General features: G+C 41.3%; 1 protein-coding gene across 8 annotated transcripts in view, besides 2 other annotated features; it reads right to left on the bottom strand.

Moving 5' to 3' along the window:
* Positions 1-26,346, bottom strand: part of DDR2 (discoidin domain receptor tyrosine kinase 2) — a 156,543-nt gene extending 130,197 nt beyond the window's left edge. For 4 of the 8 annotated variants that reach the window (NM_001014796.3, NM_006182.4, XM_047421565.1 and 1 more), the window contains exons 1-2: positions 24,578-24,745; positions 1,835-1,998 (exon numbers count right to left, since the gene is read on the bottom strand). The gene's annotated coding sequence lies outside the window, so the exon portion shown is untranslated. Of the gene's footprint in view, positions 1-1,834; positions 1,999-24,577; positions 24,746-25,115; positions 25,235-25,761 lie in introns of those variants that run through there. The other 4 variants (XM_011509587.3, NM_001354982.2, XM_047421554.1 and 1 more) reach the window with 3 other exon arrangements.
* Positions 25,898-25,997: an enhancer, noted in NCBI's record as "active region_2011". NCBI's record gives its function as "activates an Ori minimal core promoter by ATAC-STARR-seq in GM12878 lymphoblastoid cells {active_cell/tissue: GM12878}" and the evidence as "EXISTENCE:reporter gene assay evidence [ECO:0000049][PMID:35858748]".
* Positions 26,288-26,467: an enhancer, noted in NCBI's record as "active region_2010". NCBI's record gives its function as "activates an Ori minimal core promoter by ATAC-STARR-seq in GM12878 lymphoblastoid cells {active_cell/tissue: GM12878}" and the evidence as "EXISTENCE:reporter gene assay evidence [ECO:0000049][PMID:35858748]".

Genomic DNA, 26,755 nt, shown 5'->3' with positions numbered 1-26,755 from the left:
AAGGCTATATATAGCATATGCCTTGAATATTCTAATAGTAATTTATGGAAATCATTGTTTAAGATTGGTGCCCAGGCATGGTGGCTCACGCCTGTAATCCCAGCACTTTAGGAGGGCACGGTGGTAGGATTGCTTGAGCTCAGGAGTTCAAGACCAGCCTGGACAACATAGTGAGACCCTCATCTCCACAAAAAATACAAAGTGGTGGCGTGTGCCTGTATTTCCAGCTACTTGGGAGGCTGAGGTGGGAGGATAATTTGAGCCTGGAGGCAGAGGTTGCAGTGAGCCAAGATTGCACAAGATTACACTGCTACTCTCCAGCCTGGGTGACAGAGCAAAACCCTGTTAACAAAAAAAATAAAAAAAAAAAAAAAACTCCAGTGGCAGGGGAAGAAAAGACCACAGTGATAGTTTCTGAAAGGTAAAGCGGAACAAATCATAGATAAATAATGTTTGAAAAATCTCATGTAATAGAGAAACCCTGTAATAATTTCTGGTTGGTGGTGAAGCATAGCAATGAATTATTCATTCTAAAATATACACTGTGAAGGCTCAAGTTAAGACCTCTTAACTCCCCCATACCAAGAGTCTATCATAAGGAAGGAAAAGAGGAAGGAAAGGAGGGAGGAAGGAAGAAAGGGAGGGAGGAAGAAAAGGCAAATTTGAAGGCAATCTGTGGGAAGAAGGAAACCTAAGACATTAAACTATGAAGTGAATTATTACCACCAGGAAGCTAAAGAGCAGCGAGGCATTCCCTAGATAATAAACAGAAAGGAAGAGATAATCCAAAAAGCATCTTGACAGGGAGAAGAAATCTTCTGGGGAATGTAAGAAAATACCACTTTAGCCCCACCCTTATCCCAATAATCATTCACATTATTTACTCACTCATTCATTCATTCAGCACTCATTCCAGAAGCTGTGCAGAATACAGTAAAGCCTAAGTTGAATCTGAGGGCTCTCGCTGAGCATCCTCCATGTGTCAGACCCTGTGCTAGATGCTAGAGGCACAGGCATGAAGGAGATATGGAGCTCCAGGCTGGGAAGGTCTCAGACACAATCTAGAAATTGCTACAGTTCTAGATCCTCAGTGGGATTTTAGCCTGCCAAAGGATGAACTGAGAAGTCCCATTCAGACCAAAATTCACCTGCAGCAGACCACCTTGATATGTGGAAATGGTTTCCTAATAAAAGTTCTGCAATATAGCATGCTTCTCTTTTTGCCTTGAGTCCCAGCTAAGCGCTGTATGAATCTGCAATCAGTATCCCTGGGCTAGGTTTTCTTACATTTAATTCCCCCAAAATATAATTACAGGACTCTTGTACTATTATCCTGGTTGTAGTGCTTCTATTAAGTATTGTTTTACTCTAAATCACCTCAAATTATTCCCAGAAGAAAACAACTTATAAAATAATTGTTAAAAATAAAAAATAAAAACAAATTGTAATATTAGAAAACACAGATTGACGCTGGAACCCTACAGATTCCAGTGGGTCCTGTAAGGGCAGAGAAGTCCCAGAAAGAGGCCAGGTACCCTGGCTTACTCAAAACTGAGGAAGACATTCTAGGCCAGGACACTCTAAAACTGCCCTCTAATCTAGGGCTGGTCACAACCAAATCAACGGAAGTGAAAATGAGTTAATTGACAGTCCACAACAGATTTCCTATATAGTCAAATACATTGTCTTCTCATCTGATAGCAGCTCTAGGCACAGAAACCAAGTGTTCAACTTTCCCTGTGACACCAGGCAGGATAAGTGGGGGGATTCAATGTGAGCCACACCACTCCCAATCTCATGTGGTAACAGAGCCTCAGTGACTGGACCTACTTACATCAACGGGTGCAGAGCATTCTCTGTGGAGCAGGATCCTCAAAAACAGCTGGCCTCTGCTTCTCTTCAATTATTTCAGCTTCTTTAGAATAATTCAAGCCACAAACCTTGGAACTTTCTAGAGCACTGAACCCCAGGCAACTTGCAGGTCTCCCTTGATGGAGGCTGGGAAAAAGAGAAAGCAATATTTTATTATAGACTTTGGTTCCATTCACATTTCTTTCCTCTTTGGCACTCCTGTCCAGCGCCGTGCAACAGAAACCTTCCAAGCACACCAGGCACTAAAGGAATTGGATGTATCCCAGAGGATCTCGGAGGGATGTTGTTTATACCTAAACTGATACTTGCCCAGTTAAGAAATTAAAACTGAGAATTTGAAATTTATTGTGTATTAACTCATTAAATAATAGTAATTTTGTTGAATAATAATTGTTATAAAAATAACTTTATCTTCAAAATTGTTATAAAAATAACTTTATCTTCAACATGAGAAGAATGACATCATTTTACATTTTTTAAAATCTCTTAAATATTTGGCTTGACCAGACACAGTTGGATTATCGTATCTGCTTCTGGATTCAATGTGCTGCAATGGCACATGTCACTGAGCCTCTGGAAAACTCCACCGTACACTCGTGAGAGAATGAGAATAAAAACAACTTAGTATTATTATTAAAATAATTTTGATCTATGGATCTCCTGAAAGGGTCTCAAGGACTCCCCAGAATCCCAGAACACACTGGGAATCACTGCTCCACACGATGAAAAGTGAGTCTCATTTCCACCGCACCATCACCCTCCTTCAGATATAACTAATTATCAGTTACTTGAGTAATTTTCTAGAAATAGTTTACACATATATAAAAACTATGGATTTATAGTGTTTGAGGGTTTTTGGTTTTTTGTTTGTTTGTTTGCTGTTGTATTCTTTAGACAGGGTGTTGCTTTGTTGCCCAGGCTGGAGTGCAGTGGAGTGATCATAGCTCACTACAGCCTTGAACCCCCAGGCTCAAGTGATCCTTTTGCCTCGGCCTTTTAAGTAGCTAGGACTACAGGCACACACCACCATGCCCAGCTAATTTTTGTATTTTTTGTAGAGACCAGGTCTTGCTATGTTGCCCAAGCTGGTCTCCAACTCCTGGCTTCAGGCAATCAAGCGATCCTCCCACCTCGGCCTCACAAAGTGCTGGGATTATAGATGTGAGCCACCATGCCTTGAGATGCATAGTTTTTTAAATTTAAAAAGTTGAATATTAGTATGCTATACATTTCACCTTGGCTTGTCTATTATACATGTTGGGGACAGTTCCACGTCTGCATACATGGTTACCTCTTTCCTTTCCTCTGATCTGTTGTGTCCCTCTGAATGGATATAACTCTCTATAACAATATACAGTGCCACAGTGTTCAGGCGGGCTGCTGAATGGCCCATTTCTTTAGTGAAGGATACAGTACTTAATGGGAATAAAATGGCCACACAAAGCAAGAACAAATGCTACACATCTCAGCACAACTTTCCTCCGGCTTCTAGTTTCCTAACAAGGTATGCAGCTGAAGTCTTACAAAGTTGACAAAACAACCAAATTTTACTATACTTCTGCCCTTTTCTACTTGGGGCTTACCTCACTGCTCCAGAAAAACTTACATTAACAATCTCTGAGCCAACGTTTATAGGAATGTTTACAACAACCAGCCTCTCCTGGTTCTTGAAACACTCACTATCATCAGCATCACATCAGCATCAGGGAAGAAAATAGGACCCAAATGTCCCCAAACAGTATTTTTTTTTTTTTGAGACAGAGTCTCATTCTATCATCCAGGCTGGAGTGCAGTGGCACGATCCATGATCTCAGCCACTGCAACCTCCGCCTCTCGGGTTCAAGCGATTCTCATGCCTCAGCTTCCTAAGTACCTGGGATTACAGGCACTCGCCACCATGCCTGGCTAGTTTTTATATTTTTAGTAGAGACAGGGTTTCGACATGTTGCCCAGGCTGGTCTCAAACTCCTGACCTCAGGCAATCCACTCACCTTGGCCTCCCAAAGTGCTGGGATTACAGGCACAAGCCACCATGCCCGGCCCCCAAACAATTTTCTGAAAGCTAGTTCCCTGCAGTACTAAGACGGCAAAAGGTTAATCCTGTTGGTTCACAATTTTGCTGACGTAGAAGCTAAAGGAAACCCCACCTCACAAAGCTAATTTGCTTTGATCACACTGAAGGTCTCAAATGCTAAAAGTTTCTTTGTTTGTTTGTTTGCTTGTTTGTTTTTTAAGACAGGGCCTTGTTCTGTCACACAGGCTGGAGTGCAGTGGCGTGATCATGGCTCACTGCAACCTCCACCTCTTGGTTCAAGTGATCCTCCTACCTCAGCCTCCCAAGTAGCTGGGACTGCAGGTGTGTGCCACCACGCCCAGCTAACTTTTGTATTTTTTGTACAGACAAGGTTTTGCCATTGTAGCCCAGGCTGATCTCTAACTCCTGAGTTCAAGCAATCCTCCCACCTCAGCCTCCCAAAGTGCTGGGATTAGAGGTGTAAGCCACCATGCCTGGCCACAAATGCTAAAAGTTTTGTAGACCATCTGAGTTCACTTCCTCACTCAGATTTACTAGCTGTACAATCTTGGGAGGTTGCTTAGTGTCTACTTGTAAAATAGAGATGATACTTATGTGATAAAGTTATGAGGATGCATAATTGTAATTATGTACAAAATGTTCCTACCACATAGTGGGTACTCAGCACTCAGTAATTGTTAAGTCCTCTCTCCTTATTGTCTGTGAACCAAAATGAGCTGTGGGGCTGATCGTATGTGCTGGACTTAGCTGGCTTTTCAGGGAACCCCAGTGGTCTACTCTTTTAGGAAGTCTGGGAATGTAGAAAACTGGGGTAAGAGAAGATGGCAGAGCATTTTTCTTTTCCAAACAAAAGGAATTTCCTGGAGTGTCTGTCGTCTGTCTGATTCAAGATGAGAAGCACGAGTCTGCTTTCCTACATTCCTCCCCACCAGGCCAGGAAGATGGGCACCAACAGTCCCTGCACTTCTGTTTCAGCTTTCCAATCTGCCCCCAAAATTACATGGTCAGTGTGGTTTGCATTTGTAGGTCCATAAGGCATACAGAAAACCCCGCCCAGGTTTGGAGGAGCCCCTCGGGTAAGCATGACAATTTTTGAATCCTTCCAAGAGTAGAACCAGCACCTGCAATTACATCCTCCATTTACAAATGAGCAAACTAATATTTAGAGATGCTAACTAAATTCCCCAAGCAGCCCCAACAAGGGCAGAGTCAGAATTCCAAACCAAGTCTGTCTTATGCCAAAGTGCATGTTTTCAACCACATCATCATATGATGCTCCAACTAGGAAAGATAACACCCTTCCCATGATGTAGCGAAGCCAGTCGGTTTCATGGAGATAGTGAGATTTCACAGGTGAGACAAATATCCTTAACCGTAGGCTGATGGTCTTACTAACGCAAAGTTATAACTAAAATCAAAATCAAAATTCTTCAGAAAATTATTTCTAAGCTTGACACGAAAGTAGAATGACAAAACACCAAAGAGTAAACCAAGATTCGACTCATTTTTGGATTATTGTAGATTATTTATTTTACTTAAATTTTATTAGTATTTTGTTAGGAGATTAAGATTATTACATTATTTCAATAGATTATTGTTTTAATAGCTTAATAATTTAATAGTAATTTGTTCAACCACGTTTCTGAGTTCCTAGTATGTAATATGTACTATAGTTGATAGAAAGATGAAGGAAACATGTTCCTTGGCCTCAAAAAAGATATAATGGATATTACAAGATATAGTAGATATATATGTCTGGGTTGGTAAGGTAGTAAGAAAGGAAAGAACAAGGTGCTAAAAGAAGGAGAAATCAAGCCAGTTGAGTGTTCCCTAAAGATTTGTTGGAGTGAGGAGCCATTATTTGAGCTGACTCTTGAAATATCACTAGGATTTTGTCAGATAGAAAGAATGCAGACAAAAGTCTAAGAAAAGGGAACAATTTGAATGGGCAAGTTATGGGATAAGAAGATTAATAAATAGTTGGTGGGAGGACAGGAACACACAGGTAATCGAAGACAAAGCTGGAAGCTGGAAGATGATTGAGGTGGGAAAACGCAGGGCTCCAAATGCCAGCAAGGAGTGAGCACAAGAGAGCCGGGAAAGGCTTTGGAGAGTGGGATGGCAGGCTCAGAGAAGCTCTGTGAGGCTGAACCTGGCATGTGGGTTGCTTTGGAGGAGAGACCTGGGGCAGGATGACCAATGAAAGCCTGATGTACAATAATGACATCAGGAAAGGGAAATAAATAATGTGGACATATAATAATGTGGAGAGGGGCTGGGTGCGGTGGTTCATGCCTGTAATCCCAGCACTTTGGGAGGCCAAGGCAGGTGGATCACTTGAGGCCAGGAGTTCAAGACCACCTTGGCCAACATGATGAAAACATGTCTCTACTAAAAATACAAAAATTAGCTGGGCATGGTGGCACACATCCACTGTAATCTCAGCTACTTGGGAGGCTGAGACATGAGAATTACTTGAACCTGGAAGGCTTAGGCTGCAGTGAGCTGAGATCGAGCCACTGCACTACAGCCAGGGTAACAGAGCAAGACTCTGTCTCAAAAAATAATAATAATAATGTGGAGAGGATTGAGAATTGACCAATGACTAGCACAGGAGGGAAGAAGGAGGGAGTCGAAAAGCCTGGGAGTCTGGGCTGCATGTGACCAGGAGCACATAGTTATTTATTTATTTATGTATTTATTTTTGAGATGGAGTCTCACTCTGTTGCCCAGGCTGGAGGGCAGTGGTGCAGTCTTAGTTCACTGCAACCTCTGCCTCCCAGGTTCAAGCGATTCTCCTGCCTCAGCCTCCTGAGTAGCTGAGATTACAGGTGCGCACCACCCTACCCTGCTAATTTTTGTACTTTTAGTAGAGATGGGCTTTCACCATGTTGGCCAGGCTGTTCTCGAACTCCTGACCTCAAGTGATCTGCCTTCCTTGGCCTCCCAAAATGTTGGGATTACAGGCGTGAGCCACCACACCTGGCCTGTTATTATTATTATTTTTTTTTTAACGTGGAGGAGGAATTGGTTTGTAAGGGGAGATTGTGAGTTTGGTTTGAAACATAAGTAATTTGGTTTCCTTAGAATGAAAACAGGTAGACACATCTTGATTTTGGCATTCAAGAGAAGGGTTGGTCTTAGAGATCCACATTTGAACTTCAACTACATAAATGCAATAATTAAAGTCTGAGACAGATTAAGTGATCCAGGAGGAAGGAAGAGAAGAAAAGCGAAGACAGAATGTTGGGGCTCATCTGCATGGGGTGGGTGAGAGGAGAATAGCTGTGTTTCCTTTACCTTCTTCCAGGTAAGACTCAGGTCAACTTAAAAATGGTTCCAGACCTAACCCAACTTCCTTATTTTACGGATGAAGAAAACCCAAACCCAAAGGGTTAACTGATTTATCCAAGGCCTCACAGCTTCTTAGTAGCAGAACTGAGACTAGATGGATTAAGTGACCATTGGGAATTAGTGTTGCTTAGCAACTGAACTAGTTGCTGTATATCACATGATGTGGTTGGAGTCAGAGAAGCTTGAGAACACACTACAAACTTCATTTATCTTTGTTACATCAGCCCAGCACTGTAATTGTGCCCAACAGTCTAATCAGTGCAGGGGTTCAGACCGTATCTTATTCATCTTCTTGTCACTGTCCGCTCTACTCTCTCTTTTCCTACCACTGCCTCCACCACCAGAGTTATTGCAGAGTAGAGAAATTGCAGATTATTTTCCTTTTTGAATATGAAGACAGACTTTTGAAAGGAGCTGAAGAGTTCATTTAGAATGAACATAACCCCTGGGGAAACTGAGGCTCAGAGACATTCAATGACTTACCCAAGATCACCAGTTAGTGGCAAAGCCTGGACCCAAATCCCAACTCTTGTTTCTTTGCATGACACTACCAACCTCTAGTGCAAGAGACAAACTTTCTAGTCCCTAATTTCTTTAAATATATGCTGTGCCATCCTCTTCTCTCAAGGTGCTTCTTTTAAAAAGAGCTCCATGATCCAAAAAGTTTGTGGAGTGCTCTAAGCTCGCCCTCTCTTGGATAGTCAAAATGTTGATTACCATATTAAAGACTGTGGGACATCCTGCAGTAAAGAAACTTGCTTAATTCTCTAACAATATTTTTTGAACTAATTTGACCACGGAACTGTGGCCCTGTAATCTACTTAAAACCCACAGATTTCCAAGAATTGCACTTTGGGAAAAAGTGCCTAAGTCTCATTAGCAAGACTTGCTTTGTAGGTCTCAAGCAGAAATGTCACTAGTGAGTGGTCCTCACTATGGGATAAGGTTGGGGAGTGGTGAGAGATGGGAAAGAGAAGCAACAAGTAGTCCTAGTCTCTTCCAGAGCCATCTGCTCTGCCAGTAACAAAGGGTGAAACAGCTACTGAGCAATTTCAATTTGGAATCCTCACTGTAAGCTTAAGGCACTTTCTCCTACTAAGGGTTCTGGTGGGAAAATGAGTGTTTTTGTTCTCATACATTCCACATCAGCTGATGTGCTTGTTCCACGCTGCCTTTGCCACCATTCGTGGTCATGCCATCTTGTCCTTCCACATCCCTCTGGCTTTTCTTTCTGCACTCCACCACCCTGGTCTAAACCCTGTCCCTTCACATCTGGACTACCGAAAGCAACCTTCTTTTTTTGTTTTTGTTTGTTTGTTTTTTAATTTTTTCCTCAGTGCTCCTTGTTCTGAGAATGCAGCCCTCTAATGGGTCTCCCTGACTTGATTTCTTATCCCCTGCAATTTGCTTACATACTGCTGTCACATCTTAAGACAACACTTCACCGGCTTTCAGATAAAGGAAATGTTCAAAATTCCACAACATCCAAAGCTCTATTTAATGTCAGAAAACCCATCTATGCAATGTTATTTCCCCATGCTCCCCAAGGCAAATATCCCACCACCCTAGGCTCCTGTCCTCACTGTTAACTGAACCAGCCAGCCATAAGCAATCTGACTGCCAAGTGTCTGTTCCACTGCTCTTTGCTACCTGGCTATCCAATTTATTCCAATTCTTATTCAATTTGCAGCATCCAGCACCAGTCCCCTGGCTATACAAACCCTTCCATGCACTCTTACATTTGCAGATTCTGAGCAACTAGCCCCCCATTTACTTGCATTGCTCTTTTACTGCTCCCGGAATTTTCTAACTGAAAATAAACTCAGAAAGGGAAAGGACTATGTCTTATTAAATACAAGACTCTTAGTAAGTACTCAAAAAAAAAAAAAAGGAAAAAACCTCTTGCTAAATACAGGAATGAATCTGTCAGAGGCATTTGAACCAGAGCAACTCCATCTTGAATAGGGACTGGGTAAAATGAGACTGAGACCTGCTGGGTGGCATTCCCAGGAGGTTAAGGCATTCTTAGTCCCAGGATGAGACAGGACGTTGGCACAAGACACATACAGGTCACAAAGACCCTGCTGATAAAGCAGGATGCAGTAAAGAAACCTACCAAATCCCACCAAAACCAAGATGGTGATGAAAGTGACCTGTGGTCATCCTCACTGCTCATTAGACGCTAATTATAATGCATTAACATGCTAAAAGACATTCCCACCAGCGCTATAACAGTTTACAAATGCCATGGCAACATCTGGAAGTTACCTCATATAGTCTAAAAAGGGTAGGGATCCTCAGTTCCAAAGGAAATCCCTGCCCCTTTTCCAGAAAACTCACGAATTATCCACTCCTTATTTAGCATATAATCAAGAAATAACTACAAGTATACCCAATTGAGCAGCTCATGCCACTGCTCTGCCTATGGAGTAGCCATTCTTTTGTTTCTTTCCTTCTCTAATAAACTTGCTTTCACTTTATAGACTTGCCCAGAACTCTTTCTCACGTGAGGTCTAAGAACCCTCTCTTGGGGTGTAGATTGGGACCCCTTGCCGGTAACAAATCCATATTGACCTTAGAGCTATGATTTAAGTAGAAAACGTCAAGTCCACAAAACATTAAGGAAATGAATCTCTTTCTGGGCCTCAAGTGCATTTAAATATTTCTAGTTCAATTGACTTTAGTTTTAGAAACGCAGGGGAAGATTTATTCTATCTCATCCTGGATGGTCAGGAGCATTTTCATTCTTTTTTTTATAGATAGATTTGTACTTTCTACCACCCTCTCATCGGCTCTTTGCCATGCTTGGCCTCCAGGAAGGAGAGTCTAGACCGAGTATATTAAGTGATATTTAAACATGCATCTCTAAATTTTCCAAGGGTCTGGCCAAAAGCGTATTCTTCCCAAGAACACATCTTTCTTGACAATTGCCCCTTCATTCATTCTTTTACTTATTTGACAAGCATTTAGTGAGTGAGTCCTTGAGGTACAAGGATGGATTTTTTCAAAAGTCATGGTTCTTGAGGCATCCACAGTCTAATGCAGTTTTACACAAAATGTGATCAGACAGACACCTGCAACAGAATCACCTGAGGGAGGTTGTTTTAAAAGATTCAGGCCCCCTGGACATTTGCACAGACAATTTCTTATTCAGTAAATTCGGAGTGGCATCTGGGACCTGCATTTTTCAAAAAGCACTCCAGGTGATTCTGATGCATATTAAAGATTGAGACCCACTGGCCCAATGGAAAAGACAGGAATGTAAGAGGATAATTGTAGAGCACTGGTTCCTAGTTGCAGTTAAACAGGTTTTCACAATGTGAAATGGAGACATAAGAAGAGGCTTTAGTGTGTAAGGCTTGGGCGTTGCAATGAGAAAGATATAGGTTCAAATTCCGCTGCTGCCACTTACTTGTCATGTGATTGACCTTTTCTTGGTGTCATGTGTCCTCACATGTAAAATAGCCAAAGCACTCACCTCACACCAATTACAAGGTTTTCATGAGATTACATATGTAAAGTGCTTATCTTAAATTTTAGAGCATAATAAACACTCATTACTCAGAAGTCCTCACAATTGTCATTTTTAATTATTAATGGAACTTAAAGGAAAGACCACAAATGAGAAAAGTTTTCCTGAGAACCGTGGAGCCCAAATTTAATTTTAAAGCAGTTTGTCTCAAAGGATAAATATCTTGCAGTCCACAAGAGTTCTAGGATTTAAAAAATTTTCTGTCTTCGATTATAATTTAACATTTTAATACAAGCAGTAACCATCATGCAATTTCACTGCCTGGCTTTTCATTGGTGTTTACAATTGCACAAATGCCCAGTGAAAGCCAGATGAAGTCAAGGATCAATCTGGACATAGAGGAAATGTTGGGAAAACTGAGTCGTTGCATGGCATGAGGCAGTTCAATCTACTCAGCCATAGGATTCGATGCCATCTTCACGCTGTGAGCAGATGTGCTATGGGGACTTTGGCTTTTTACATACTAACACATACCAGCTTATAAGCAGAAACTTGAGGCATAAACACACAAAGAAGAATGGTTCTGTCCCTGATTCTGTTAGTAAATGGATTAGATATCCATTTAGTACCAATTTTAATATCAACACAATGCTAACCCTATCTTCAAGTGAGTAAACAATTTAAAAAATTATCAAATGACACCTCATAGAAACTGACATTCGATGATTGCTTACTACAGAGTTTGGGTTAAGATCTTATTTTCCTGAACTTATGAACCCTCAAAGCTATTAATAACAATTTGTTCAACATACTTACACTAACAGGCATGCTTTGCATGAAATTAATACATTTAAATAACAGATTTAAACATAGACCAGACCCTGAGGATACATGGTTCTACTGTGTCTATCTTTAAGTTCCACACTAGTGATTAGTTTCAACAAAACCACATTATCTATCACATTAAAATAATTTAAATTTTATTGGGTTTCATAGTTATATTTGATTTCTTTTTCTCTCTCTCTCTCAAATCCTGAGGTCTGCTCAGATATAGTTGATTTCATTTATTAATTTGTTTTGGCTCTATAGTTGCATAAGAACTATAAGCATAAGAAGTGTATACCTAGTTTTAAAATTATACATATTTTAATAAGATCCTAATAATAGATCACCCAAAAAGCTGAAAAAAAATTCCCTATAAAACATGTCCATGTATTATTCAGGTCTGAGTAATACCAAAAGGGACAATCCTGAGGAAAGGTTTGTTCAGGGCTGTCTACTCTTCTATCATCACCTGTCTCTCTTGAAGAAGGGAGTCCCCGCCTGTTCACCAGGCATGAGTGACAGAGAATCTGCTTCATCAGCAACTTATGACCACGCCACCCCTGCAGTATGCCTGTTCCATAAGGCCCTTGGCCATTGCTTCACAAACTTTCCGACCCACCTTACATTGCCAATAGCAAAGCCATTATTTGGGGTTGGGGAAAGGAGAGGACCAAGAGATCCTCTTCTTTGCAAGTGAGACACCATTTACTCTACACTTAAAGCTATGTATTTATCTAGCCTTAAGAAGTGTGGTTGGCTGGGCGTGGTGACTCATGCCTGTAATCCCAGCACTTTGGGAGGCTGAGGTGGGCAGATAACCTGAGGTCAGGAGTTCGAGACCAGCCTGGCCAACAGAGTGAAACCCCCTGTCTGCTAAAAATACAAAATTAGCCAGGTGTGGTAGTGCATGCCTGTAATCCCAGCTATTCAGGAGGCTGAGGCAGGAGAATCACTTGAACCCAGGAGGCAGAGGTTGCAATAAGCCAAGTGTGTCATTGCAATCCAGCCTGGGCAACAGAGCGAGACTCTGTCTCAAAAAAAAAAAAAAGGTAAATAATGTGGATCTAGATATCTCAATCGTTTGTCACCACTTTCATCTAACCCTCATGTATTCAGAAGAAAGTGTCATACACCATGATCATCAGGCTGTCTGGTGGATATGTTTTCCTAATGCCTATTGCTGAATCATGCATTTGTAACTATAATAACTTCATCATCATAAGGATGGATTTGAAAGTATTTTTAAATAGCATCGTAGTACTTCCCTCAATAGCTCTGAGAAACTGTAGCTGAGTAAATTTAGGAACAAGTTGTAGATGACAATTATGGCTTATGTTCCTATGGAGGGCTGGATTAAGACCTTATGGAGGCTTCAGATACAGAAATATTACAGTCTCTTCTCCACTCCCACCCCAACATGTACTTCATTATTTTTAAAAATGCTAAAAAGTAGCATTTTTAAGAATGTAAGAACATTCAATCAAATTTCTATTTTCTATTTGTCTCATTAAGACTACTTCAATACATTTTTGGAAACCAAATATTAGCTTATTTCCAAAAGGAACTGGAGGTGTCCCTACTAGAGTCCTAAACACTTGGGAAAAAGCAAGTTGCAAGTGTATCCAGGGTTTTCACAGGCATCATATCTCTTAATAGCCAGGTCTCATTTCTTATGTACAGTCTGCGGGTAACAAATATGGAGCCATTCTGAATGTGCCAGACTCTCTTTTTCCAATTTAACTACCCAAGAACTCCTTCCCAGGCTTCTCCTTGCCCTAACCGTACCCAACCCCAATGAGGGCTTAGTTCTAAAAATATGAAATTCCTTTCAATATTCGAGTACATTGTAAGTTAGAAAATTAGATCTTCTGGCCGGGTGCAGTGGCTCACACCTGTAATCCCAGCACTTTGGGAGGCCGAGGCAGGTGGATCACCTGAGGTCAGGAGTTCGAGACCAGACTGGCCAACAGGGCAAAGCTTCGTCTCTACTAAAAATACAAAAATTAGCTGGGCATGGTGGTGGGTGCCTGTAATCCCAGCTACTCGGAAGGCTGAGGCAGGAGAATCACCTGAGCCGGGGAGGCGGAGTTACAGTGAGCCAAGACCGAGCCTCTGCACTCCAGCCTGGGTGACAGAGCGAGACTCCATCTCAAGAAAGAAAAAGAAAATTAGATCTTCTGCCCTATTTCAATGCTCTTCTTTCCTATATTACTTCTGCAAAAGGCATGAGGTCAGCAGTGAAAGGGAAATGCAGAGTCATTGAAGTTTACCTGTATAGATAGGTCAACACCAGACATTCTGAGCATCTTTGTTAGAATATATTTTGTAGATGTTGGCAACTCAATCCATTGAAAAATGATGATCAGAAGCACCTGGAAACCTAGAGGTGGAACTTTCTACAGCTCAGGGAAAGGCACAGTGTAGCTCAATTTTTCTGGAGCATGGGGGGCGCTGGTGGATCTAGGAGAGGGGCAGAAGAAGCTGGTACCTTAAGTCATGAAAATGAAACAGGCAAGTGAACTTCAGAAAGTTGTGAAGGAAAGACAATAGGAAAACCATCAATCCTCTTTAAACTGTGAAAACAAAGCTTGCCACCAAAATATAGCAAAAGGATTAGAAAGCAACTTTTCAGCCGCCCTTGAAGGAATTGTATAGGTCTAGAATTTACATCCTAGCTTGACATCCAAGCTTGATACCCCTTTGGTAATAAATGGCTAAGCAAAAGGCTTAGAAAATTTTTCACCTCCAAACATGATATTAAGCAGCAGTTAATTTGTTTTTTACATAACACTGAATGTTCAAATAAGAATTTCTTAAAAGCTTTAACAAATGAAAAGTATTTCAGGAAAGAGAGAACACTCAGTGAGAGAGGGAAAGGTTAAATAAAGGTAAGCACTTCTATCATCAGAGGACTGAACACACCCATGAGGAAAGGAGTATGATCAAGAGAAAGACACCAGCACTGCCTGTAGTCAAACCAGGAGAAACCAAATCTGGGGTAGTATTCTGAAACCCTCCTGGAATAACCACCTTCTATTTGTTGTTAAAATAAAATAAAACAGGCCAGGCACGGTGGCTCACGCCTGTAATCCCAGCATTTTGGGAGGCTGAGGCGGGTAGATCACCTGAGGTCGAGAATTCAAGACCAGCCTAATCAACATGAAAAAACCCCATCTCTACTGAAAGAAAAAAAAAAAAAAAACACAGAAAATTAGCCGGGCATGGTGACGCATGCCTGTAATCCCAGCTACTCGGGAGGCTGAGGCAGGACAATCGCTTGAACCTGGGAGGTGGAGGTTGTGGTGAGCCAGGATGGCGCCATTGCACTCCAGCCTGGGAAACAAGAGCGAAATTCCACCTCAAAAAATAGATAGATAGATAAATAAATAAAATAGGCCAGGCATGGTGGCTTACGCCTGTAATCCCAACACTTTGGGAAGCCATGGCGGGTGGATCACCTGAGGTCAGGAGTTCAAGACCAGCCTGGCCAACATGGTGAAACCCTGTCTCTACTAAAAATACAAAAATTAGCTGGGCGTGGTGTGGGTGCCTGTAATCCCAGCTACTTCGGAGGCTGAGGCAGGAGGATGGAGAATGGCTTGAACCCAGGAGGCAGAGGTTGCAGTGATCCGAGATCCCGCCACTGCACTCTAGCCTGGGCGACAGGGAGAGACTCTGTCTCAAAAATAAATAAATAAATATAAATAAAATAAAATAGCCCTGTATATAATATAGACCCAATACAAACCGAGTTTTCACATAAGCTTATCTGTTCCTCCTTATCTGTACTCACAAAGACATTAGTATATTTCTACAATGTTCACAAATCATAAGAATTAAAATTTAAGTCCAGTACTTCTGATAGTAAGTCCAGTACTTAGGCCATTTTTTCCATGACCTAGCTCTCTTTAGATGCTGATCTTAACGGCATAACCAATTAATAGAAACTTACTGAGCTCTTTTCCATCCTCAAAGACTATAGTATATGACATTTCAATTACTGCCCTCTAAAAATTTTTCCAACAACAAATAAGAACTGTGCCAGGCATATAAAATAAGCCCTTAATCTAATATACAGTGAGAGTTCAGTAAGTACTCACTTATGGGTTAATGCTATAAGGTGAGTTAGAGCAATCACCTAAGACATGGTCTTTGCTAAACTAAGTGATACTGACCAAAAGAACTAGGGATTCCAAGAAGATCTGGGATGGATGGAGGATCTGAAACTTAAGCTGGCCTTCAAAGAAGAGTGGTATTTGGCTAAAATGAGAGGAGAGAGGAGCATATTCAGAGAGTATGGGGACAGGGTGACAACTAGGGTGAAGATCATAGCGACTCAAGTCTTATCTGTGAAAGTGAATATGGGGATGTGGGTGCTGACAGGACAGCGATTAGCATAACTGAACTGGAGAATACAGAAATTGTATATTGCCCTTTACAGATGAGAAAAATTTAAATGCAGAAAGATTTAAAACATTGTTGCACAAAGTCCCACTGCTTGTAGGTGGCAAAGTTAAAATTAGAATCTCACCCTATTAACCCTTGGCCCATCACTCTTTCTACCATACCAAGTTGTAGTTAAAACAGCTCAATGAGGGTGGGTCCAGTGGCTCATGTTTGTAATACTAGCATTTTGAGAAGCCAAGGTGGGAGGATTGCTTGAGCCCAGGAGTTTGAGACCTGCCTGAAGAACATAGTGAAACCTCATCTCTACAAAAAACAACAGTTAGCCAGGTGTGGTAGTACGCACATATAGTCCCAGCTAGTCGAGGGGCTGAGGTGGAAGGATCACAAACGAACAAAAATGACTATTCTTTAAGTGATAGTTATTATAATTTGAAGAGTATGACACAAAAATACCTACTTATCTGCTATTAACCTATTGAATTAGTCTTTTTCAAGATTTTGAAACATTTCTGCCTCAGGTAGCTTTAATAAATAAAATAATATCATTTAAGTTTAGGGTACTTATCTGAAAAACAAAATTAAGCATTTTAAAATACAGATGCTCATGATTATAACTATATTACAATGACTGCCTTCAAATAAGAAAGAAGTAGCCAAGATGGAATCAAAGTATTAGAATTTGGAGATTGGGCAGATTTTTTAAATTAAACTTTAATTCTTTTTAAAGCAGTTGTAGGTTCACAGCAAAATTAAGCAGAAAGTACAGATTGTTCCCATATACACCCTTGTCCTCTGCTACAAAACCTCCCTCACTATTGACATCCCTCACGACATTGGCACATTTATTACAATCAATAAGCCTATCAATAAACCTAATGGTCTGTGATATCAACACATCATTTTCAGCTGGGCGCGGTGGCTCACACTTGCAATCCCAGCACGTTGGGAGGCTGAGGGGGGCAGATCATGAGGTCAGGAGTTCGAAACCAGCCTGGCCAACATGGTGAAACCCTGTCTGTACTAAAAATACAAAAATTAGTTGGGCGTGATAGCACACGCCTGTAATCCCAGCTACTCAGGAGGCTGAGGCAGGAAAATCGCTTGAACCCAGGAGGCAGAGGTTGCAGTGAGCCGAGATCACACCACTGCACTCCAGCCTGGGCGACAGAGCAAGACTTCATCTCAAAAAAAAAAAAAAATCATTTCACCCAAAGTACATTGTTTGTCTTAGGGTTCACTCTCAGTGTTGTACATTCTATGGGTTTTGACAAAGGTATAATGACATACATCCACCATTGTAGTAACCACAGAACAGTTTCACTACCCTAAAAATCCTCTGTGTTCAATTTATCCCTCCCTCACCCCTAATTCCTGGCAACTACGAATAGTTTTTACTGTTTCCATAGTTTTGTCCAATGAAATTCAGAATTCGAAGTACTATTTCTACTGAATGAGTATCACTTTTGCACTGTCGTAAAGTTGAAAAATCGTAAGTTGAACCGTTTTAAGTCAGCACCATCTGTATTTTTCTCAACCTGTGGTTTGTATTCTCATTCTCTTGACATTGTCTTTCACAGAGTGGAAGTTTACAATTTTAATGAAGTCCAGCTAATCAGGGATTTCTTTCACAGATAGTGCCTTTGGTGCTGTAACTAAAAAGTCATCACAATATCCAAGATTACTGAGATTTTTTCCTATGTTATTTTCTATGAGTTTCATTGTTTTGCATTTACATTTTGGTCTATGATCCACTTTGAGTTGCTTTTGTGAAGGATGTAAGGTTTATACCTAAGATTCATTATTTTTGCATGTGGATGTCCAATTGTTCCAGCACCATTTGTTGAAAATACTACCTTTTCTCCATCAGATTGCCTTTGCTCCTTTGTCAAAGAACAGTTGGCTACATTATATGGGTCTATCTGGGCTCTCTATTCTGTTTTCTTGATCTATTTGTTTATTTTTTCACCAGTACCACAATGTATTGATTACCAGAGCTTTACAGTAAGCCTTGAAGTCAGGTACTGTCAGTCCTTTGACTTTGTTCTCATTCAATATTGCAGTAGCTAATCTGGTCTTTTAACTGTCTATATAAACTTTAGAATCAGCTGGTTGAGGCCAGTCATGGTGGTGCATGTCTGTAATCCCAGCTACTCAGGAGGCTGAGACAGGAGAATCACTTGGACCTGGGAGGTGGAGGTTGCACTGAGCCGAGATTGCGCCACTGCACTCCAGTCTGGGCAACAGAGCAAGACTCCGTCTCAAAGATAGAAAAAGAAAAAAGAAAAAAAAAAAGAATCAGTTCGTTGATATCCACAAAACAACTTGCTAGAATTTTGGTTGGGATTAGGACTTATTTTTAATTTCCATTGATACTATTTTAGCGTTATTATGTCCATTTTAAACTGTCTGTTATGTACACATTCTAAAATTACAACTGCATCTGTCTGAGGAACAGATTGCTATTCTTGAGTGAATTTAGCTCCCACTACTCTCTTATTGAGGTCAATTTGCTCCCCTGCATCTCAAGAGGGTTCATCCTGAAGGACAAGTGCCAGTAGCTTTTGAAAACTTCACCAATCCTCTAACTTTTACATGCCTCTGAGAAGTTACAGTACTGCAAGGCATTTTGGTATGGCTCCCACAAGGACTTCCAAAGTGCGATTTTCTTTTACAAAGCCCAAGTAGTCACTCATTTTACTTCCAGCAAGAAATGGAAGTGGCATATATTGGTGTGACTGTACTTTAAAATTGCCAAAAACACACATAGACACACTTGCACGCACTTCTCCAACCTTACCATGGGGATATGGGAGTTTGTTCTTTAATGCTTGGATTTAGACATAGAACGATAGCCATAATTATGATGATAATAATGAAGACCATGGCAACAAAGACAATGGTGATGATAAGAAGTACAGTCCCAGGCCGGGCGCAGTGGCTCATGCCTGTAATCCCAACACTTTGGGAGGCCGAGGCAGGTGGATCACCTGAGGTCAGGAGTTTGAGACCAGCCTGGCCAACCTGGTGAAACCCCAACTCTACTAAAAATACAAAAATTTGCTGGGCTTGGTGGCGGGTGTCTGTAATCCCAGCTACTCAGGAGGCTGAGGCAGGAGAATCACTTGAACCCAGGAGGCAGAGGGTGCAGTGAGCCAAGATCGCACCATTGCACTCCAGCCTGGGTGACAGAGTGAGACTCCGTCTCAAACAAATAAAAAAAATTAAAAAAAAGTACAGTCCCAAAAAGGAGGAAAAAGAGGATGGGGCTCTTGTTAATGGCTTTATGCCTCATTTGCCTATACCAATGTCTCCTTTATCAGAGATTTAATCATATTTTATGTATTTCTGAAATTTTCTCCAGTCACTGCTATGTGTGTCTGTTGTTTCCTAAGTTCCTAAGGACAAGAATTGCGTCTTTTACTTCTGGATCCTTCATTTCATTTGTCTGTATACTCAGCAGATATTTTATTAAATGTCTACTATGTCCAGATAATGTGTTAAGCCCTAGCACTGAATAAGGCATGCACTAAGTGCACAGAAAAAAAATTTTTCTAATAAATGAGAAACCTCAAACTGTAGCTACATAACATTATAAACAGCTTGAGAGGCAGCAATATGATGTATTCTTTTCATAATAACAAATAGGGCATAAATAATAAATTTATTTATTATTTTGTTATGTTTAATAAATACACATTGAGTAACTGATAGCAAATAAAACATAATACTAATACAAGGTTGTAATAATAGAGAAATTGTGCAAAGGGTAGAAGGAATTCATGAGAACTCTGCATTTTGTTCTCAGTTTTTCTGTAAAGCTAAAGTTGCTCTATAATTTTTAAAAATTATAAAAAATATAAAATTTGGGGTCCTATTTATGGCATAACACCTGCTCCACTGAAAATCACCATTTAATAACTATTTCTGTATTATTTTTAAATTACAGTTCAGTAAACTTTAAAAACTAAATTTTATTAACCCAATGTGGATACCAATTTTCTAAATCAAGTTTCACACAGTCAAATTCATATTATACTCCCTAGAACCTAAAGCAATGAATGCTTATAAATGCTTGTAACTTCATGGGGTTTGTTCATCATAAAACATAGAACAGTGTCCAGCAGAGACTAGGCATCCAATAACTACTTACTGAGGAGTAAATAAATAAATACAGCAAAACAAAATTATGACAGAGTTTACCAGGATGCTATGATATTTTTAATAGATAAAAAATATACCTGCGATTTTTTTTTAAATCACCACTATTCAAGAGAAAAATAAAATCAGTGGAAAACTATCTTAGACATGAGAGTTCACTGAGATTTGTATTGTTTCATGTTTTTTTGGATTCATAAGAGCATTCAAATTTTAAAAGGAAAAAATGCAAAAATGCTAGATTATTTGCCCTCATTTTTAATCCATCTCCCATCTCAATTATTTTGGCTACCTAAGCTATTAAGGCCCTAAGGATTATCTTGCATTACCTACCATCTTCACAGGTACAGTGCTTTCCAGTTTCCTATACATTATCTTATCTAAACTCAAATGAAGGGGATAAAAACTCAAGGGGAAATTGAGGACCAATGAAGTTAAAAAACTCCTCTGAGGTCGAAACCCTAGAAAATGATGGTGGTGGGACTAGAGCCTCACTACATGTTCTTTTCACTACATCACGCATCTGAAGTTCTATTTATCACATGCCCTCTCCCTCTCACTCACACTACAGAGCACCAGCCAGCACTAACCTCGGAGCTATAGATCCAAAGGGCCCCTCACAGATTTTTGTGGGGTTCTTTTAGGCACAAATCACAAGCCACAGACGACTTAATGAGTGGATCCATTACAGACAATATCCAATTTCCAGGAGAAGCCCAGCTAAACTCAGGAGCTGTGTAGTGAGTCCAAACCCATGTTTAGAATTCCTCTACCTTTGCATTGCCCTTCCAGGCCTTAGCAACTCTTGGGCTGGCTCAAAACTGACCTTCTTCAGCATTTCAAAGCCAAAGTAAGATTCCAGCTAATAAGTACACAATTTGCCAAATGCTGGGGTTTATAAAATTAGGAAACATCAAATATATCTATGCAAAACAATTAGAAAATAAGAGAACCATTTTTAGCCAAATCGTACATGAATAATGCAGGCTTAATAATAGCACATTTAAACATATACAAATATAATTAAAAGAGAGAAAAATTTACAGAGATCATCACTTTAGACACGAGGTGATTGATGTTCCAATAAATATCCTTGACAGGTATCTGGACATCTCAGCTTCTTTACTAAACTATGTTATTAGCACAGTGTTACTAAATCTTTGATGAATAGAACTAAATCAAATGGAATAAAATTGAATTGCCAAAGACAACACAGTTGGAGATTTATCAGCAGAGGTACTTAATTCTGTTTCACATCAGAATCACCTGGGGAGCAGTTCAAAGTACTGATTCCCAATCTCCAACCTCAGATATTCTGATTTGATTGGTCTGAAAATCTTTTAAGGTCTACCTGGGGTTTCTAATTTCCTGGTGAACAGTCCTCATTATGGATGGTTGCTGCATTCAGAGAAGCCCTGGGATGCCTGGGGATGCTGGACACATTTCTGGACTGACTAGTCATTGTTGGGACAGAGTCGATCAATTCATATGTTGCACAGCTTCAAACAGGGCAAGAGGTATAAAGAGTCCAGTGTGTCTGTGTTGCGGACAGGTCACCATTTATGTGAGCTGGCACAAGAATGTTAGCATGTCTGTGGAGGTCCACTTTTAGACGTGTGTTTGCTTTTTGGATGCCTGCGAGACATGTGTTTGGATTGTGTGTTTGAGGTGAGGGTGATGTGAAGTGCCTGAAAGCAGATCTTGTAAGGGAGCTTGGGAAGGATATCTGAGAGCTCATGCGAATTGAAAATGGTGTGACATGAATGTATGGGGGGTGGCCGCTCCAATTTTTTCATGTGTCTATTAAAAATGCAAATACATGGAAAGGTTTGAAGTAAATTCACTGTGTGTGATAGAGAATTCAGATGACTTCAAGACTGGGGAGCAATTATACAAGAAGGAAAGAAAAGTGCGAGTTCACAGAGTGGCTAGGGGAGAATAAGCAGGTGATAAGGTCCTGTGCTTGGACATGGAGACTCTGTTGAGGAATCTAAGTGAAAGGCATTCCGGAAACACCTTACCCACTTCCCTTACATTTAAGGTTTCTAAAGCAAATGGATCTTACCCAGAAACAGAGGCTGAGGCCTCCCCACTGCAGGCTGGCTCTCCACCCCCACCCCAGGAGCAGCAGCCTCCCTTCTGACTGCAGGCACAGAATAGGGAATGCCAGGGAAAGGATGAAGGGAGATGTGCCTGCCAGTGACAAGAAGGTCCTGGGTCAAGGATCTGCCCTCAGCTAGATACGAAGCTCCTCAAATGTCAGTCTTGTCTGAGGAGCAATCAGGGGACTGGTCCTGACTAAACACTTCCTTTTCAGAGACAGGGGATGCTTCACCAAGCACAGTGTCCTTCAGCCTGCACTGCTTTGGGCAAGGAATCATATCAAACCAGGCCAGTGGAGGAGAATTTAAGAGACAGAATTTAAGACAGAGCCCTCAGGAATATTCCCCCGGGAGGGAGGAAGGCCTGCTTCCATTCAAAGGAGATGGGCACTAAGACTGAGGCCACCCATTTCAGAGTTTCACACACATCCAAATCCATCTGCCCTCCTGCCAGCATCAGCACCAACTGCCAGACCCAGCACCACAGGGGCTGCCTCATATGACGTTCTGTGTTTACCGATCCTAATCGAAAGAGCTGATATGGGTAAGCCCTTGATAGCCTTCAGCATGCATGCATGTCCAATACCTCTTGCAGCAATCACACTGAAAGGTACTGCAATTGTTCCCATATAATAAATACAGAAGTCAAGGTGCAGAAAGGCAAAGCAACTTTGCTAAGTAGTAAAAGGTAGAGCCAGAACTTATCCTGAATCTTCTGACTCTAAGTCCCAGGCTCTTTGCATAACAAAGGTAAGTATATACCAAAGACCCAGAAATCAACCCCACATCTGATATCCAGACAAATGTTCAGCCAAGTGCAGAAGTGGCCTCTGAGAGAGAATCCATACTGCTCCCATAGCCTGACACCTTCACCTCCTGATCAGCCAGTGAAATATGGAATTTGACCCCAAAAGTAACCAAATGCAAGGGAGATGAGGGGAGTATCATTGAATAGTGATTCCAAGCATAGGTTTTAGAGTCAGATATACATGAGTTTCAAATGTATTAGCTACCTTTCCTTGAGCAACTCATTTCGCTTCTCTAAGCGTTAATGTCCTTACATGTACGATAGAAATAATGCCTTACATAGCTGTGAGAGTCAATCAAATTATGTATGAAGAGCTCTGAGCATGAATTATGTATTATTTTGAGCCTGCTGCATAGAAAATACTCAGAATTTAGCTTCTTTTTATTTTACACACACACACAAATATAACCATAGACATCATTAGCTGATGAGCCGCCATTGGCGTCCTCTCTATTACTGATAATTAACGTCCTTGTGGTGACTTGCTCATCATACTGCCTCTATTGTCTCAGCCAGAATAAGCCTTAAAAAGGAAATGAAAGCAGAGGTATGGAGTGGAAAGAACACTGGACTAGCAGTAGAGAGAATCTCAATTTCATTTTCAGCTCCACTACAGATGTGCTGTGGGACTTGAACAGGTCGGTCCCCTTCCTATCATTTTTTACATCTGTGGAGCGAAGGGGTTAGATGAGAGGCCTAAGGCCCTTTTCAGGACTCTTAACTCTGTGTTGTAGGAAGCCAATGATCGGCAAAATGGTGCTGAACCCCCTACTGGCTTGAACAGTACGAACTCTTGCCTCAAATGGCTGGTCTGAGAGTTTCAGCCACTGGGAACAGTTCTCTTTCCCTTTGGATGGGACTCTTGAACCTAGGCCAGGACTCAGAGGTCCCAAATGAAAACAGCCCCAGTCATTCCATAACAAAGGGAAAGGCACCCAGAGCCAGCGAGGAGATGAGTCTGGGAAGCTGTATTTCACTGTCACAACTGAAAAATCTTCCATGCACCCAGCCTCCCCCTAGCCACCCCAAATCTCAGGGGGAAGCCACCCCTCATCCAAAGTTACCCTTCTCACAAGTAAATCAGCAACTCCCCTGAAAAACAAAAAGTGCTTGGTCTACACTATCTCCAAAACTCAGGACCTTCTAACACCACTACTAAATGTCTAAAAACTTAGCTCTCCTGCTCTGCCTTCTTCATCCTGAAACTAACTCTGCAATCGGCCTGTCTTGCCTGCCAACAATTTCAACTCTGCTAACACTGTTTATTGTATCTTGCAGCTGCTATAGATTCATTTATTTTGCTTCAGGCTTCTTTGGTTATTACTGCTCTTTATTCTTCCCTTCATAGCATAAATCCAGACCCCCAAAAACATGGGATCTGATTTCTCGAGTCTGTGGTGCCTCATTACGTTCCCTTCCTTGTCTGACTTAAAACGCCCTTCTGTTTCCTTTTTAAAACTTTTCCTGAAACACCAAAAGAAGTATATGCGGAGCTTTCATTTTCAAAAAAGAAAAAATAATAAAGAAAAAAGACCCACATAACTTACTTTCATCCAGGGGTGCACAGTTTTGGAAAGAAGAAAACAGAGCTATAATCCACTGCGTTTCCCCAACCCAAAAAGAAGAATTTGTTGTGAAACGCTTCTTTTTCCACTTTGCTGGTGAAGGAGCCCGGTGGTAGGCATACATCCACAGGCTGATGCAAGATGCCTTTGAGAGAAACCTCACATTCTGAGGATTCCTGGGAAAGCGCCAGGGATCCCAGCATCCAATATATTGCACATTTGGTTTCAATTAGGAAGGGGGTTGGGGAGGGAAGAAGGAAAGTCACCAATCAGAGCTGTTTTCTGTTTGGAGACTATTTCTTTTGACCCAAGGGACTATGGGCAAAGCTATAATTTACAGCAAAACCCATTCATAGAAGAAAAAATATGTATAACCATAGGACAGACTTAAAGACACCGCTCCCTTCTGCCTTATTCCCACCCATATCCATCTCCACTTCCTTCCCCTCCATCTAAGACTTGATCCCCTTCCTGTGATCCCCACCCCCCCGCCGCCTACCCCACACCTCATTTTTCTTACTTGAGCTGAAGCTATAAGCAAAACTTAAAGTTTGGAGTTTTCCAATTGAAGCTTCCAGGACAGTTGGGGCACACACGCGGAGCTGACCTTTAGTATTTTGACCATGAAAGCCTAGAGCTGAGCTCTCCCCCGAAAGATTTGATTTAATCCCTTCCCACCACGGCTCCCCCCACCAAGAAAACAACTGGAAACTGCCAGAATCCAGGATTCCTATTTTTTTCCACTCAATTCCCAGTTGGCTGCTGCCTCTGAGGGTCTGTTGCTGTCCTGGATTCATGCTGCTAAATGAAAACACAAGCATTTATAAGGACTTTCTAAATTATTTTGTGAACTTTTTTTTCCCTCCTTTATCTTCTCCCCGCTTCCACAGCTATAGTCAGAGATCATGTGAAAGGGGCGGGTAGGCAACAGGGGAGGAGCCTTCACTCCACTCTCCAAACGATAACTAATAACCCTCTCCATCCATCCAGGCTCCAGCCTTAACCCTTCAGAGCCTGGATCATTCCTGACCAAGCCCACGCTGGGCTGTTCTGGAGGTCCTGATTCTCCGTGAGTATGGAGAATGCAGGGCAAGCAGGGACCCAGGGGCAGGAGATCCAAAGAGAGAGGTAGATGGCAAAAGGCAGGTCAAGAAGACCGAGCTTACCTTTGAGAGCCAGACTTCTTGTAAAGAGACCTCCTTTCTCTGAGCTCTGGAGCTATCACCAGCTCTTCTCTGTTTGTAGTTAATCTGGGATTGCACAGTCTCCAAGATGAGCAAGAAAAGAAGTGAGCAAACAGGAAAGGGAGGATGGAAAGAGATCATGGAGGAACGTTCCCATAGTAAGTTAGGGGCAGGAGATGTTTCATAAGGGGAATGGAAAAGCGCACACACACACACACACACACACACACACACACACACACACACAATGAGGGTGGCCATGAAACTGAGAGCTAGTGTTGAGTCAGTGTTAAGTCCCTAAAAGTCTCATAAGCTCAGCACCAGTCTGAGGGTCAGAAAGCAGCCGTTAACATCTGTGCCTCACAGCTGTTACAGAAAAGGACACGGAGAACATGGGAATGGTTCAGAGGGCAGCCATGGAAATGATTAAAGGCAGCAAGCAAGACCTTAGAGAAAAAACTAGAACTAGGGTTAGTTTATGAAGAGAAAAGACACTGCAGAGATCAACTTATTAAGAAGACTCTTCAAATAACTTACAGCATCTGAAGTCAGGCCTGAGGGTGACTCAGGCCAGACATGCAGCTCAACTCAATAAATATGTGTTGGGCTCTTATCAGGCACTTTACTGGGTGCTTGCCAGAGACAACTAGAAATCCTCCTCAAATGTCCATGCCTGTAGTAGTTCACCTCTTTGGCATTACTATAAAGAATGTACCAAAAATACAATCTGTGATTTCACAGATTTGGTGATACTATAGGTCAAATGTGGAAAACAGTAACAACTTCATAAAACCAGACTGAGCCTGATAAAGGACAGGGCCTGTACATATAGGTATGTGTTTTCCTTTTTCATTTTAAGGTGGTTCTACTCCATAGGTGAGATTGTTTTTTCTCTGTGTATGTATAATTAGAACTCAAGTTGTAGTCTTAATTGAGCCAGGACTGAGCCAGTGATGTAGACTGCAAAACCCAGACA

Source organism: Homo sapiens, chromosome 1, assembly GCF_000001405.40.
Source record: "Homo sapiens chromosome 1, GRCh38.p14 Primary Assembly".
NCBI lineage: Eukaryota > Metazoa > Chordata > Mammalia > Primates > Hominidae > Homo > Homo sapiens.
Note: the sequence above shows the minus strand (reverse complement) of the source record. Positions and strands in the feature narration are given on the sequence as shown.